This window comes from Homo sapiens, chromosome 21, assembly GCF_000001405.40.
Source record: "Homo sapiens chromosome 21, GRCh38.p14 Primary Assembly".
Classification (NCBI taxonomy): Eukaryota; Metazoa; Chordata; class Mammalia; order Primates; family Hominidae; genus Homo; species Homo sapiens.
The window spans coordinates 36087642-36103945 of record NC_000021.9 but is presented as its reverse complement, the minus strand read 5'-3'; the positions used below and the strand labels follow the sequence as shown (position 1 = coordinate 36103945).

The 16304-nt window shown below is 41.9% G+C and overlaps 1 long non-coding RNA gene across 1 annotated transcript in view, besides 1 other annotated feature; it reads left to right on the top strand.

The window, feature by feature from the left end:
• CBR1-AS1 (CBR1 antisense RNA 1) overlaps positions 1-16304 on the top strand; it is a 56999-nt gene that overhangs the window by 22695 nt on the left and 18000 nt on the right. The window contains exon 2 of the long non-coding RNA NR_040084.1: positions 5687-5822. This is a non-coding gene — a long non-coding RNA (CBR1 antisense RNA 1). The remainder of the gene's footprint in view (positions 1-5686; positions 5823-16304) is intronic.
• Positions 3456-4317: an enhancer, noted in NCBI's record as "OCT4-NANOG-H3K27ac hESC enhancer chr21:37471927-37472788 (GRCh37/hg19 assembly coordinates)". NCBI's record gives its function as "activates a minimal SCP1, AML or CMV promoter by ChIP-STARR-seq in primed H9 embryonic stem cells {active_cell/tissue: H9 hESC(primed)}" and the evidence as "EXISTENCE:reporter gene assay evidence [ECO:0000049][PMID:30033119]".

Sequence of the window (16304 nt, the reverse complement as noted above, 5' to 3'; positions counted from 1 at the left end):
TGTATGATAAGCTTTGGAGAACAATTTCTCTCTCCAGTCCTCATTTTTGGTAAAAACAAATTATGATAGGACTGTGTGGGTTGTTCGTAGAATAAACTTTAGTCTTATACTTGGCCTGATTATTTGCATAAAGTGCAGCAAGAATGGTTGTTTCTATGTAGGCCTTTGGATTGGCTTTGATGAAACTCTGTTCCACAAGGAATTTCAGATAAGATCTTTAAAGCTGAGCCCAGCCATGGGTTTGTATCCTCAAATACCTGTGAGTTGGGTAATCCTCTCCTCTTGAGGGTCTAAGATAAACTTGGAGCTGCTGGACCTGTTAGAAAATGACATTCTTTACTGACCACAATTTAGGAACCTTGTGCAGGAACTGTGTAGACAAGGTATGAGGCCAGTTCTCCTTAAGGGGCTTTTATTGGGTCTGCATGTCAAGCTTCATTCCTTAAAGGGAAACACACCCTTTCAGTCAAAGCCTTGGTAAAATAACCAGTTTTTTCAATTGTGTCCTGTTGACAAAGAAAAATGGATTCTTATTGCACTGATGCAAATATTGCCATAAGTTAAGAGTACTCACAGATAGTTTCCAAATTCTAGAGGAACCAGGCAGAGAAAAACAAACACACTCCAAATTTTGTTTACAGTAGTATACCTTACTCAATTATTAAAGGCCATAAATAGTTCAAAGTAAGTTTCCTTCACTCTGAAAAATAAAACAAGGATCAGCAATATTCCAAGCAAGAGTCAAAAAGTTGCTTTAACCTTCTGAGTGCTGTCCGTCTAGTTAAATCTTGTTTTGCTTGATATTTGTGAACATGTAAGCTCATTATGAGTCCCATACATTCTCTATTCCAATGTTACAATCTTCAAAGCTACTAAAAACCTGTATTTGAGAATGCCTGTTAAATTCTTTAATATAGCTTGATTATAAACCATCTTTTGAGAAGGAACAAAGCAAGATAACAATTGTCTGTGAATGACAAGATTTCCAGGATATTTATAGTTAACAACATGATTAACAAATTTATTCATTTCAGTGGTTTACAATAACTTTACCCTTAATTATGATTGATAGCATATACTTAGACATCAGAATTTTAGAAATCATATGTAATTTTGGAACATATAATAGTATTTTTTAAAATTATTTTTATGAAATGGAGTTTTGCTCTTGTTGCTCAGGCTGGAGTGCAGTGGCATGATCTTGGCTCATTGCAAACTCTGCCTTCTGGGTTCAAGTGATTTTCCTGCCTCAGCCTCCCAAAGTAGCTGGGATTACAGGCACCTGCCACCACACCTGGCTAATTTTTTTGTATTTTTAGTTGAGATGGAGTTTCACCATGTTGGCCAGGCTGGTCTTGAACTCCTGACCTCAGGTGATCCACCTGCCTCAGCCTCCCAAAGCACTAGGATTATAGGCTTGAGCCACTGTGCCCGGCCAGAATATATTAGTATTATTTAGCAAAGTATAACTTAAGATTGGACATCATTTTGGCAATCTCATGTGATTAAATATGTCAGATAATCCTGTTTATCTCTTTTCTGAATGTTTCAGGGGCCCTCTGAACCATCAAAAAGCCAGGCATCAGGAACGACAATTTTGAAACTTGAAGTCTGATTTTAGGATGCCTGTTAAATGTTCAAGGTTTAAAACACTTGATGTTATGAAATGGAATTCCAGATTGCCATACATTATTTCTTTTGCCAAAATGGTGACTTAAAAGGCAAAAACTGTTCGTTGGCCTTTACTATGACATGAAAATCCTGTTCAAACCCAAATTTTACCCTTGCATTAGTTTATTAATATTAACCCCAATTTGTTTAAATTAAACCTTATAGATCATTCCATCTAACCTTAACCAATTTGACCATGAGGTGAAATCTTTACAAACCTTTCATAACCCTTTTACTAAAGGACAGATTAGTGTCGTAAGACCTCTTTGCTGTGCTTTTATTTCAATGCTCAATTTATGAAAAGATCATATAATACACTTTTAAGTTTAGTTAATGTTCACTGTTGAACTTTTAGCAACTTTTATTTTTGGTGAAAAACCTGGTTAGTAATCTATTTTAATTATGTACCAGATGTGGATCCTAGGACTCAGACAGAAGTGCAGATAAAGTCTGACGTTTCAGCATCTAGGTCCATGTGTCCCAAGCCTTACCTATCTGAAAAGCGGGCAGTATACACAGCCTTGGAACATTTAGCAAACCTAGTATCTAAGCTGAATGATTTAGACCACCTATTTGTATTTTGACAACACTTGCATTTTACCAATAATCCTTAAGACTATTTTTATTTCTTAAAGTTATGTGAACTAAAAAATATTTGATTTAAGCACTTGTTTTTCTTTAAGCCAGTCAATTAGAGCTCTTTTAATAGACCTTACACACAACATGTATAGAGCAACACGAACAGACAGAAGATTCAGCACTTGTAAGATTTTTCATTTGCCAGTTTCTTAATTGGATTACTGGCGTCAGGGTGGAGCCCTTGGAGGAACAGTGCCAGGCAGCAAGCAGTAAGAGTGGTAAGACAAAAAATGGAGAAAAATAATTCAGTCGACTGAGAAGAAAAAAGCCTTTTACCAGAAAAACAAAATCCAAGAAGCAAAAAACATAAAGGCCTTTTAAATATATTTATAACTTGAATATCCACTTTTAATTAAGCTGAGCACTCATTAAGAAAAATCCTTTTAAATCCCTTGTGACTCGACTTTAGCCACAGGAAGCAGTTAAGATGTTCAGCTTTTGAAACCTCACAGGTGAAACTGACAAGTCTTAATTAGGTTTATGGCTTAATTAGGTTATGACTTAACCTTGAATGTACAAGGTATTTTCAAAGGGGTGATAGGCAGCTTTTGAAACTGTTACTGCAAAATTGTGACTGAGACAGCGAAAGAGATCTGACCCAAACAGCTGCATTTGTTTTCCAGCCCCAAGCTGTTCTTGCCCATCCCTGGGGGTAGTCCGAACCAACTTTGGGAGCAGCCTGGTTTATAATCTATAGTCTAAAACAAAGATGATAACAGCTCCTTTTCTTTTCTTTGGAGTCTCACTCTGTCACCCAGGCTGGAGTGCAGTGGCGTGATCTCGGCTCACAGCAAGCTCTGCCTCCCGGGTTCAACGCCATTCTCCTGCCTCAGCCTCCTGAGTAGCTGGGACTACAGGTGCTGGCCACAACAACCAGCTACTTTTTGTATTTTTAGTAGAGATGGGGTTTCATCGTGTTAGCCAGGATGGTCTCGATCTCCTGACCTCGTGATCCGCCCACCTCGGCCTCCCAAAGAACAGCTCCTTCTTAAGATATACTTCCCTCTTGCCTGGGGACCAGACCAAGAAACTAGCTATAAGATTAGAAACCATGGTTTAGGAGTCATGCATCTGGAGGCTACAAGATTTTGACCCTCCTAAAACTGCACTCAAGATTAGTGCTTAAGATATTTTGTAAATCCTGCCCTTGATGGATCAGGGGGCACCACCCAGATTGACAAACTGGCTTATCTGATTTTGTGGCCCTCACCCAGGAATTGAGTTAGCACAATATCGGGGGACCTGCCCCGATAGTCATGTAGGTTCTTTTCTATGTTCCTAAGCATCGGATGGCTTGAGAAATAAAGGGACAGAGTACAAAAGAGAGAAATTTTAAAGCTGGGCGTCCGGGGGAGACATCACACGTTGGTAGGATCCGTGATGCCCCACAAGCCACAGAAACCAGCAAGTTTTTATTAGGGATTTTCAAAAGGGGAGGGAGTGTGCGAATAGGTGTGGGTGACAGACATCAAGTACTTAACAGGGTAATAGAATATCACAAGGCAATTGGAGGCAGGGCGAGATCACAGGACCACAGGATGGAAACGAAATTAAAATTGCTAATGAAGTTTCCGGCACCATTGTCATTGATAACATCTTATCAGGAGACAGGGTTTTGAGATCAACCGGTCTGACCAAAGTTTTTTAGGCGGGAATTTCCTCTTCCTAATAAGTCTGGGAGCGCTATGGGAGACTGGAGTTTATTTCACCTCTGCAACCTCGACCATAAGAGACAGTACGCCCCGGGGGGGCCAGTTCAGAGACCTACCCCTAGGTGCGCATTCTCTTTCTCAGGGATATCCCATGCTGAGAAAAAGAATTCAGCGATATTTCTCCCATTTGCTTTTGAAGGAAGAGAAATATGGCTCTGTTCTGCCTGGCTCACCAGCGGTCAGAGTTTAAGGTTATCTCTCTTGTTCCCTGAACAATTGCTGTTATCCTGTTCTTTTTTCAGGGTGCCCACATTTCATATTGCTCAAACACACATGCTGTACAATTTGTGTACTTAACGCAATTATTACAGGGTCCTGAGACGATATACATCCTTCTTGGCTGACAGGATTAAAAGATTAAAGTAAAGACAGGCATAGGAAATCACAAGGGTATTGACTGGGGAAGTGCTAAGTGTCCATGAAATCTTTACAATTTATGTTTAGAGATTGCAGTAAAGACAGGCATAAGAAATTACAAAAGTATTAATTTGGGGAACTAATACATGTCCATAAAATCGTCACAATCCACGTTCTTCTGCCATGGCTTCAGCCGGTCCCTCCGTTTGGGGTCCCTGACTTCCCTCAACAGCACAAGAAGACAGACACCATTGTAAAATGATGGAGACTAAAACAAAGTATTGCCACTTGGTTACAGGTCATGTTGCCAAGGACATGAAACAAGATGGAGGCCTGCAGGCAAGTTTGTTACTGACTGTTCTGTTGGGTTGGCTTGAACAGCAGGCTTATGGGTTCCTGGGCCTGCATCCTAACCTGAGATACCCTTTCTTTGACAGAACCATACAGAAAGACATGCAAAGCACACCAGATTGTCTACAGCTTAAGAGCAACCTCACAAATCCTTTTTCATTAATTATACATTTACAGAGAATATACACAATGGTTCTTATTAACCCTTTTACTTGTTTGCACAGGGAGAGAAAAGCTGAAAGCCCGATCCGTAAGAAATTTTTACCCTTTTGCCGGCATATCAGGCTTCTGGGTTCCCTTCCCCCTAGCTCAACTCTAAGCCAAGCATTTTAAGGTTTGGAAAATTAACTTTTCCCAGGTTGGAAGAACATTATAAAAGAGATAGAAGCCGTTTTAAACCATGAAAGAAGGAAAAACACCACAGAAAGGAGTTCCAATTAGGGTTGTCAAGAGGTTTTGCCTCTTTTCCTATTGGGAATGGTGTTTCCCCTATTTCTTTGCCTTCCCTATTTTCTCTTTTCCCTTTTGGCCCTACTATAGGAGACATATTGCTCATCTCCAAAATTTTCTTCTGCATTCAGAGCTGCCTGTTTTAGCTGCAGTTAGAGTTTGGCTTAGGAGAGGCACAACATTCCTCCATGAGAGGTCAAATACCTGAGTTAAATTTTGGAAAGCTTCTATATATCTATCAGGGTCATCAGAAAATTGGCCTAAGTCTCATTTTACTTGTCTAAGGTTCTGCAGTGAGAAGGGGTGTTGAAGGGGCCCCAAATAAGGGAATCCTCAGATGGTTCCCCTGGAACTTGGTTTACTAATTTTGGGGAATTATTCTCTTTGGGCCTGCCTGATATGATTGCTAAAAGAGCTTGGTTGATTTTGCAACACCTGCAAAGGTCTAGTAAAAAGGCCAAGCCCTTGTGCAAAAGAAAATAAGCCACTTTTCTTCAAAATTTCAGGGTCGAAGGAGTCCCAGTGCTTTAAAATACACTCCAGGGGAGTACACGTTACTACCTTGTGAAGAGGGTGCCTGCTTCTGCTTCACCTTCAGCCATGATTGTAACTTTCCTGAGGCCTCCCCAGCCATGCAGAACTGTGAGTCCATTAAACTTCCTTTCACTATAAATCACTCAGTCTTGGTTATTTATTTATAGCAGCATGAGAACTGACTCATACAGACCGTAACTGCTCCACAAAGGGCTATGAAGTGGAGAATTTGTCCCTATCAGCATCCACACACCCTGTGGGCTCAGGCAGTCTTACTGGGTCTCATTTAGCATGTCTAATTAACATTGCCGGAAGGGCAGATTTACATGCCTTCTGCTTTATGATGCTAGGTAGGGGAAACATTTCCCCAGTCTGATACAATAACTATTTTAAAAGTCATTTAGGTAAAGGAGATACAACTACTTTACATTGTAAACCAAAAAGTATCTGAGACAGGTCTCAATCAATTTAGAGGTTTATTTTGCCAAGGTTGAGGACATGCCCAGGAAAAAGGAACACAAAACCACAGGAGCATCTGTGATCCATTATTTTTCCAAAGAAGGTTTGAGACCTTCATGATTTAAAGGGGAGGCCGGGAGTGGCAGCTCATGCCTGTTGTCCCAGCACTTTGGGAGGCGGAGGTGGGCGATCACTTGAGGTCAGGACTTGAGGACCAGCCCGACTAACATTGCAAAACCCTGTGTCTACTAAAAATACAAAAATTAGTTGGGCATGGTGGTGCATGCCTGTAATCCCAGCTACTTGGAAGGCTGAGGCACAAGAATCGCTTGAGCCCGGGAGGCAGAGGTTGCAGTGAGCCAAGATTGCACCATTGCACTCCAGCCTGGGTGATAGAACGAGACTCCATTTCAAAAAAAGAAAACAAAGATGAAGGGAAAGAGCAGGCAGGCAGTAGGGAAAGACAAGAGAAGAAAAAAAGTGAAGGAGGGGTGTGAAAAGAGGCAAGTGGTTACATTCTTTTGCAGCTTTAATCAACATTCTTTGAATCCACATGTTACTGTGGGTAGATAAATAGTCAATTATGCATTCATCTCAGGCTCAGTGAATCTGCATTAATATGCATTTGTCTCAGGTAGGTGGAGGGATGACTTCTGGTCCTGTCTTTGTCCCCTACTTGCTAAGATAAGCTATTAACTTACATTGTCAGGGAGAAATTCAACAGAACTGCTTTAGGGTAAGGATCTTAGGGCCTGCAAGGAATTTCCTTGTGGGCAAATTGTGAGAGAGCACCCCTGGGGAGGGATGTGGGCTTTTATCTTTGTAGGAACAAAAATAGGCAGTTTTGTGTGACTCAGTTCCCAAGCTTGACATTTCCCTTTGGCTTAGTGAGTTTGGGGTCCCAAGATTTTATTTTCCTTTCACAGACATAAAACCTGTTGAAACATTCCAACTTTCTTAATTCTATCAACCCTTGCATCTTTATGTTCTGGTCCCAGGCACCTTTTCTTGTCCAATCCCAGACCATTTTACCCTTCCTGGTGAAAAAGGCTTTGAGTCCCCAGCAGGGGTGCTGAACCAAGGAACCCTGGCTCCTTTCATCAATCTTATCTTGATGAACATTGTCGCAGGCAATTCTTCAGCTCTCTCATTGTAATCTCTGCCCTCATATTTTTTCATAAATCTCTCCAATCTAGGGTAAATATGGCACTGATTTGGGGCCCTTGGAGGACAAATGTTAGAGGACCAGCTGGGGCTCTCTTTGGTTTCCCAACTTTCTTTTTTTTTTCTTAAAACCCTCATACAAACACCCAACTTTCAATAGTGTTGTATTAAGACCTTTATTTTAGTGCCAATTTCCATTTTATTCATTTCATTTCTTTCTTTCTTTCTTTTTTTTTTTTTTTTTAATTTTGAGGTGGAATCTCACTTTGTCACCTAGGCTGGAGTGCCATGTGATCTTGGCTCACTGCAACCTCCACCTCCCAGGTTCAAGTAATTCTCTGCCTCAGCCTCCCGAGTAGCTGGGATTACAAGTGCCCACCACCACACCCAGCTAATTTTTTTTTTTTTTATGAGATGCAGTTTTGCTCTTGTTGCCCAGGCTGGAGTGCAGTGGCGCAATCTCAGCTCACTGCAGCCTCTACCTCCTGGGTTCAAGCAAGTCTTCTGCCTCAGCCTCCCGAGTAGCTAGGATTACAGGCATGCACCACCACACCTGGCTAATTTTGCATTTTTAGTAGAGATGGGGTTTCTCCATGTTTGTCAAGGCTGGTCTCACACTCCTGACCTGAGTTGATCCACCTGCCTCGGCCTCCAAATGTGTTGGGATTATAGCGGTGAGCCACCGTGCCTAGCCTTCGTTTCATTTCTTAATAACCATCTAAAGATTTCCACCCTGCTGTGATGGGTTCCATGATTTGCCCTTTCTTTTTTCTCTTAGTTTCAACCCATCAATGATTTTTAAGTTTTACCTTACTTTGTAAATAACTGCTTAAAAATCCCCACCTTTTTGGGATGAGTCCTTTGACTCCCCCTTTTGCCCTCACCATTTTTTTTTTTTTTTTTTGGAGACAGAGTCTCACTCTGTTGCTCAAGCTGGAGTGCAGTGGTGTGATCTTGGCTTGCTGCAACCTTCATCTCCTGGGCTCAAGGAATTCTTGTGCCCCAGCCTCCTGAGTAGCTGTGATTACAAGTGTGCACCACCACACCCAGCTAATTTTTTGTATTTTTAGTAGACACAGGGTTTCACTATGTTGCCCAGGCAGGTCTCAAACTCCTAACCATAAGTGATCTGCCTGCCTCGGCCTCCCATAGTGCTGGGATTACAAATGTGAGCCACCATGATCCTGGATGCCTTCACCATTTTCTTGTTAATTAGCCTAATGTGTTTACTAGCATCTGTAAGACTCTTGAGGAGAAGTTGAGACAGCAGATTTGATAAGACCTCCTGAACTGTCTTTTGGTTTTGCAGCAATGTTACTGGAAAGGGGTCCTCATCCAGACCCTGAGAAAGGATTCTTGGATCTCGTGCAAGAAAGAATTAGGGGTGAGTCTATAAAGTGAAAGCATGTTTATTAAGAAAGGAAAGGAATCAAGAATGGCTACTCCATAGACAGAACAGCCCTGAAGGCTGCTGGTTACCCATTTTTATGGTTATTTCTTGATTATATGCTAAACAAGGGGCAAATTATTCATGCCTCCCCTTTTTAGACCATATGGAGTACCTTCCTGACATTGCTTGGAATAAGATATCTCTAACATTTTTTTATTTTCAGTGGTTTATTTAGTTCCAATAGTGACACAATCCAAAAGCTTCTTTCAAGCCTAGGTGGGAATTTTCCACGTTTTTTACCATGTAAGCAAAAGATATTCCTAAAAAGGGTATAGAGGAGGCATCTTCATGATCCCCCAAAATTCACTCTTATAAATAGACTTAAGATACCAAAAGATGGCCAGGCACGGTGGCTCACGCCTGTAATCCCAGCACTCTGGGAGGCTGAGGTGGGCGGGTCACCTGAGGTCAGGAGTTTGAGACCAGACTGACCAACATGGAGAAACCCCGTCTCTAATAAACTACAAAATTAGCTGGGCATGGTGGCACATGCCTGTAATCCCAGCTACTCGGGAGGCTGAGGAGGGGTATCACTTGAACCTGGGAGGTGGTGGTTGTGGTGAGCCGAGGTCACGCCATTGCACTCCAGCCTGAGCAACGAGAGCAAAACTCCGTCTCAAAAAAAAATAAAAATAAAACATAAAAAATAAAAAAAAGATAGCAAAAGATGACAAAAGCCCTGTAGGAATGGGACCTTTTAAGACAAAACTCCCATAAGAGCCTGATACGTTCAGAGTGAAAAGTGAGCTTTTTAAAATATTATGTGTCTTGGACCCTCAGAAAATCAGATGAGGACCCGAAAAATCACATTTTCTGGATGGCAGAGACTAAGAGTATCCCCCCTTAGTCACAAAGTGAAGCTCTCAAGGACACGAAACAGGAAGAGTGGGAAACTTCATCTGGTTTTTGTTTCAGGGACCCACAGTAAAGTTTGTCTTAACAGACATTGGTCCGGTCAGAACCACAAAAGACTGACCAGGCTGCAGTGCCGTTTTCACAGCAGGCTTACAGGGGCTTACAAGAGTTCTAGGCTCGTATTCTACCCTATGGTACCCCCTTTTATTGTTACTGAAACCCTAGAGGTTTAGGCTAGGTCCCGCTTCTCACTGCACAGAAAGCTGCTCACTGAGACAGCCAGTATTGCTAGGCTTTAATTGGGTGCTGCAGCAGAGGAGATGGGAGATCAGTCTCAAATCTGTCTCCTCACTCACTAAAGATAGGAGTTTATACAGCAGAAATGTAACAACATGCAGGAAAACAGGAATTAGGAAGGGGTAGGAAAGGGACCTTGGTCAACAGGCAGCAGGTGGTGGGTCAGTCAATCATAAAGGGAGAGAGGTATGACATTTCATTATTCAGGTGTGGTGATCCGATGAGTTTCAATTCTTTGATTCTATCTGGGAGACCTGATGGCTGATTTCTTGAGAAAGGAACTCAGATAAGATGAATGTAACTTTCTCAAGTTTCAAGATTGGAAAGGTAAATTTCTATGTTTCTTCAAAAGAAACTGTAAACATCTATGAGATGGTGAACTGTAAAGTTCTGTGGAATAATTGGGTCAGTTTCATTCTGACAGAAGGACACAGAAAGAAGAAGCAAAGTGGCAACAAAAAAGGATATTAGAGGAAAAGGGATCAAATGATGTGAATACTCATAACACAAAATACCAGAGTTACAGCAGAGTCACCACAGTGCAAGACTAGTTACACAAATCCTTTTTTCCCATAATCAAAACTTTGCAGATGAGGTTGGACATGGTGGTTCACACCTGCAATCCCAGCACTTTGGGAGGCTGAGGCAGGAGAATCACTTGAGCCCAGGAGTTTGAGATCAGGCTTGGCAACATGTCAAAACTCCATCTCTACAAAAAATACTAAAAATGTTACCTAGGCATGGTGGTGCATGTCTGCAGTCCCAGCAACTTGGGGGTGCTGAGGTGGAAGGATCACTTGAGCCCTGGAGGTCGGGGCTGCAGTGAGCTGTGTTTGTGCCACTGCACTCCAGCCTGGGTGATGAAGTGAGATCCTATCTAAAACAAAAACAAAAACAAAAACAAAACAAAAAAAGAACCTTGGAGATGAGACAGTGATTTTTACCATCCACCCAGCTGGAGTCCACAGAGAGCCTGGCTGGTGAGAAATTCCTAGTTCTTGGCTGGCAGATCAGGTTCCTGGGTTCTCTTCACTGTGGGTTCCAGAAGAGAAGAATGGCTTTGTCCACTCTGCTTGCTGTGCCACACTGCAGGAGTCATAGGCCCTTGGCCCCCTAAAGGTTCACTGAAAAAAATCACTGGTGTGAAGCAGATGATGAGTAGGAAAGGCATGCACATTTATTTAACATGTGTACAAGGGAACCTTCAGAATGAAGACCTTAGCTAACCTTTCCTAGATTCAGGCTAGAGAAAGTCTGGCAGGGCTACTTTAAAATATGTCAAAGATATATATTTTGGCCAGCCTGGGCAACATAGTGAAACCCCATTTCTACCACAAATACAAAAAATTAGCCTGACATGGTGGCATGCACCTGTAGTCCAAACTACTGGGGAGGTTGATGTGGGAGAACCACCTGAGCCTGGGAAGTCAAGGCTGAAGTGAGCTGAGATGCACCACTGGACTCTGGCCTGGACAACTGTAGCCTCTTCTCTTTGAGAAGAGTCTGTCTCAAAAAAAAAAAAAAAATATATATATATATATATATATATATATATATATATATATATATATATATATATATATAATTTTTGGGGGGGTAAAATAATTTTAAAAATTTTTTGGGAGGGTAAAATATTGATTTATCTTAACCAGCCAGTGTTCCTAGGGTTGAAACTTGATTTTCTGCAGCTGCAGGGGTTTTAATCAACATGGAGATGTGGTAAGAATTGGTCAAATCTAACAGAAGATGGACTGAAACAAAAAAAACAGAAAAAGCAATAGCAAAATTTACATATTGCTGGGACCTCTGAGTATAAAGGAGAAGTTATAGCCAGTTGTCAGTAAACCTTGACCTTCAACTACCAAATCCCCAAATGAAATCCCAAACCACTTCCTTGCCTGGAGATGGAGCCCAAGCTGAAGACTGCTCTTTGTTGGCATGGAAGCAGCAAACTCACCTTCGTTATTGGAAGTGAGCAAACTCCTTTTCTAGAGGAGTTTCCTGGCAAAATAAACCTTGAATCTCAAACCAAAAATTTCAGGAGATCAGGGAACCTCAGGAGAGAGAGCAAGCTTCTGAACCTTTGCAATTTGCATAGTCAGAGGGAATCTCTTGTTGGAAGGAGAATTGCTGCAGGTCAAAGGAGCTAATCTCTTCTCCGTAATCCCTTCATGGTTACCAAAATTACAACCAAAATGAGTGACTGAGGCACTAAGTCTCAAACCACCAAGGTTTATTGAGCCAGCTTGAGGATGCACAGGGGAAAAACACGAGTCATAGAATCAGTGGCTGGTTTTTCCAAGGAGGTTCTTAAAAGATTTAGTATTTATTACATTTTCCTTAAAAAAAAGGGGTTGGGGGCAGCAGTGAGGCAAATGATTACATACTTGTAAGACTTTAGTTAGTGCCCAGGAAATCAACATTTTACGTAAGATAAGGTGAAGATTTGGAGAAATAGGAAATAGAAAAGGCTGAGTCTTGGGGAGGGATGAAGGAATGATTAGTTTCATCTTGTCCTTGTTCTGTGCCTGGGAAGTTGAGCTAGTAGTCTTTTGCAAAGACTGGTTTCTGTTTAGTCCTTATGGAAGAAAACCTAAGTACTGTTAGCGAGAGAGTAGGTATAATGAGGTGTGTTTGATCTCCTATCTTATCATGGCTGTGAACTCAGCTTTCAAGGTTTCTCTGGAGTCCCCTTGGCAAAGAGAGGATCCATTCAGTCAGTTGAAAGGCTTAGAATTATTATTATTATTTTTTTTTTGAGGTGGAGTCTCACTCTGTCACCCAGGCTGCAGTGCAGTGGCACGATCTCGGCTCACTGCAACCTCCGCCTCCTGGGTTTAAATGATTCTCCTGTTTCAGCCTCCCGAGTAGCTGGGATTACAGGCATGTGCCACCACGCATGGCTAATTTTTTTGTATTTTTAGTAGAGACAGCGTTTCACCGTGTTGACCAGGCTGGTCTCGAACTCCTGACCTCAAATGATCCGCCCACACTCAGCCTCCCAAAGTGCTGGGATTACAGGCATGAACCACCACGCCTGGCCGAATTTTTTTATTTCTCATTGGGAAACACTTTTACTGTCTTCTTTCTCAGGTCCATCCCCACTTTCTCCTCAAATACTCATGGTGAAATGTCTACCAGTCTTATTGGGAGGGGTGTGTGTGTTAATCTGTAAGGTATAACTCTTGTTAAAAGTGGAACTAAAATATCATTATTTCATGTTTTTTTAAAAAAATTAACTCTTAGGGCACGGTGGCTCACGTTGTAATCCCAGCACTTTGGGAGGCCGCGGCGCAGAACACCGGAGGTCAGGAGTTTGAGACAAGCCTGGCCAATATAGAGAAACCCCATCTCCACTAAAAATACAAAAATTAGCCGGGTGTGGCGGCAGGTGCCTGTAGTCCCAGCTACTTGGGAGGCTGAGGCACGAGAATCGCTTGAACCCGGGAGGCGGAGGTTGCAGTGAGCCAAGATCATGCTATTGCACTCCAGCCTGGGTGACAAGAGCAAAACTCTATCTCAAAAAATAAAATAAAATAAAATAAACTCTTAATCAAATATCCAGCCAGTATTTAAATTTCCACAATTATCTCATTTTTAAAATACATTTTATTTGCATTAAGATCTAAATAAGGTGCATACACTGTATCTCTTAATCTACACGTTTCCTACCATTATTTTTGCTTTTGTAGCGGTTTGTTTCTTCAAAATTTCTTCTTTTGTCTTGAAAAGCAAGTTTAAAGCTTTATGATGCATACAATTTTTGTAATTAGAAAATGTTTTAGTCTGGACATGGTGGCACATGCCTATAATACCAAGCACACTGAGAGGCCAATGAGGGCAGATTCCTTGAGGCCAGGAGTTGAAGACAAGCCTGGGCAACACAGCAACACCCATCTCTACAAAAAAAAATACAAAAATTAGCCAGACATGGTGGTGCATGTCTTGTGGTCCCAGCTACTTTGGAGGCTGAGGTGGGAAGATCACTTAAGCCTGGGATGTCGAGGCTACAGTGAGCTGAGATCATGCCACTGCTCTTGAGCCTGGGCAAGAGTGAGAGCCTGTCTCAAAAAAACAAAAACAAAAACAAACAAAAAAACAAACAGAAAAAAGTTTCAGAGGAAAAATAACCTATAAAGGAAATAAAATTCACCTATAATTTTATAAGTTTCTTAAACATTTTTAATATTGGCAAAATACTTCATTGTGTGACGTGCTGCAATTTAATGACTGCTATATTTTTGGACTCTTAAGTTGTGTCCAGTTTTCTCTTCTGGTTAATTGTGTATCAGGGATTATTGTGTCTATAAAGCATTATGCACATCTGATTATTTCTGTGGGAGGATAAACTCCTGGAAGTAGAATTAACAGTCACAGTGTATATATGTATATAAAAAAAATCTAAGGCTGCTGAAGCCTGTTGAGAAAATTCTTCATAAAGACTTGTATTTGGGCCAGGCATGGTGGCTTACACTTGTAATCCCAGTGCTTAAAGAAGGCCAAGGCAGGAGGATTGCTTGAGGACAGGAGTTTCAGACCAGTCTAGACAATATAGCAAGACCTCTATTGCTGCAAAAAGTAAAAAAAAAAAAAAAAAAAAAAATAGGCCACTGTGGTGGTGTGTGCCTGTAGTTCCATCTACTCTGGGTGCTGAGATAGGAGGATCCCTTGAGCCCAGGATTTTGAGGCTGCAGTGAGCTGTGATTGTGTCCACTGTACTCTAGGCCTAAGTTACAGAGTGAGACCCTGTTTCAAAAAAAAAAGAAAAAAACCAGACATATTCATAGTCAGGTATCTTAATCCATTTTCCATTGCTTATAAGAGAGTATCTGATAGTGGGTAATTTATAAAGAACCAATTTATTTCTTATAGTTCTGGAGGCTGGGAAGTACAAGGTCAAAGGGGTGCATCTGCCTACTTGCTGGTGGAGACTCTCTGTAGAGTGCTGAGAGGGGTGAGCATGCTAGCTCAGGTCCCTTTTCCTCTTATAAAGCTTCCAATCCGACTCCTGTGATAACCCATTAGTCCATGGATGGATTAATCCACTCATGGCGCAGGGCCATGAGCCAATCACCTCTTAAAGGCCCCACCTCTCAGTACTGCCACACTGGGGGTTAAGTTTTTGTTTGTTTGTTTGTTTGTTTTTGTTTTTGTTTCTGTTTTCTGAGATGGAGTCTTGCTCTGTCACCCAGGCTAAAGTGCAGTGGCACGATCTCGACTCACTGCAGCCTCTGCTATCTGGGTTCAAGTGATTCTCCTTCTTCAGCCTCCCAAGCAGCTGGGATAACAGGCACCTGCCACCATGGCCAGCTAGTTTTTGTATTTTTAGTAGAGATGGGATTTCACCATGTTGGCCAAGCTGTTCTCAAATTCCTGACCTCAAGTGATCCACCTGCCTCGGTTTAACATGAGTTTTAGAAGGAACAAAAATTAAAACCATAGTATCAGGAGTACAAGAAAATAGCACTTCTACCACAGTCTTGCAAATACCAGGTATTAAAAACAAAAACACAAACTTCCCAAGTTGACACATAGTCTGTTTGTTTCAGTTTATTATTAATAATGAATTTGGGAAATAATTTCTTCATATTCTCAGTAGTCAATATTTCTTCTATCGTGAATTATCTGTTTAAGGTATTTGCCCATTTCCTATTGAGAGTTATATTGGTCAGGGGTTCTAGCTGTCTGTTACTACGTAACAAATTACCCCAAAATATATTGGCTTAAAATGACAACTATTCTTATGCTTCTGTGGGTCAGGGAATTCGGGCAGGACATAGATGATCAGTTCTTTTGCTTCATGTGGTGTTCATTGGAATTTCTTGGTGATATTTATTGGTGGCTGGGGTGGGCTGGAGGGTCCAAGATAATCTCAGTCACATGCCTGGTGCCCTGTGTGGGGGAAGGCCAGGCCCAGCCAGGTTGCCTCTCCATCCCTGAGCAGTTTTAGGACCTTTCCTTATGGAGGAGAGCTGTTTCTTCTTCCTTCCAAAACCCAGCATCCCTTTATAGCTAACTCTGGCAGGCCCCAGATCCTCCTGAGGGCAGCTAGCAGAGGGCCACGAGCTCTCTGAGAAATGTCCAGTCATCCACTAACTATTCAGCATTCAGGAACAGAGGAGCCATTCTCTGAAGGTTGCAGAGATTGTCGAATGAGGGACTGGAGGAGAGGGAAACTTCTAGTCTCTTCTTCTCTTAAGCTTCTCCCTCTCCCACTGCCTGATAAATCCCTTCCTTGGTGGGAAACATGAGCTCTCACTTGCCCACCCTCCTCTGTGTGAAAGGGCAGGCAGCTGAGGTATGGTGGCAACTGTTGGGTGCCTGAGTGTCTGGAAGCCTGGTGCTGAATGCCAATGAGGCCTTTC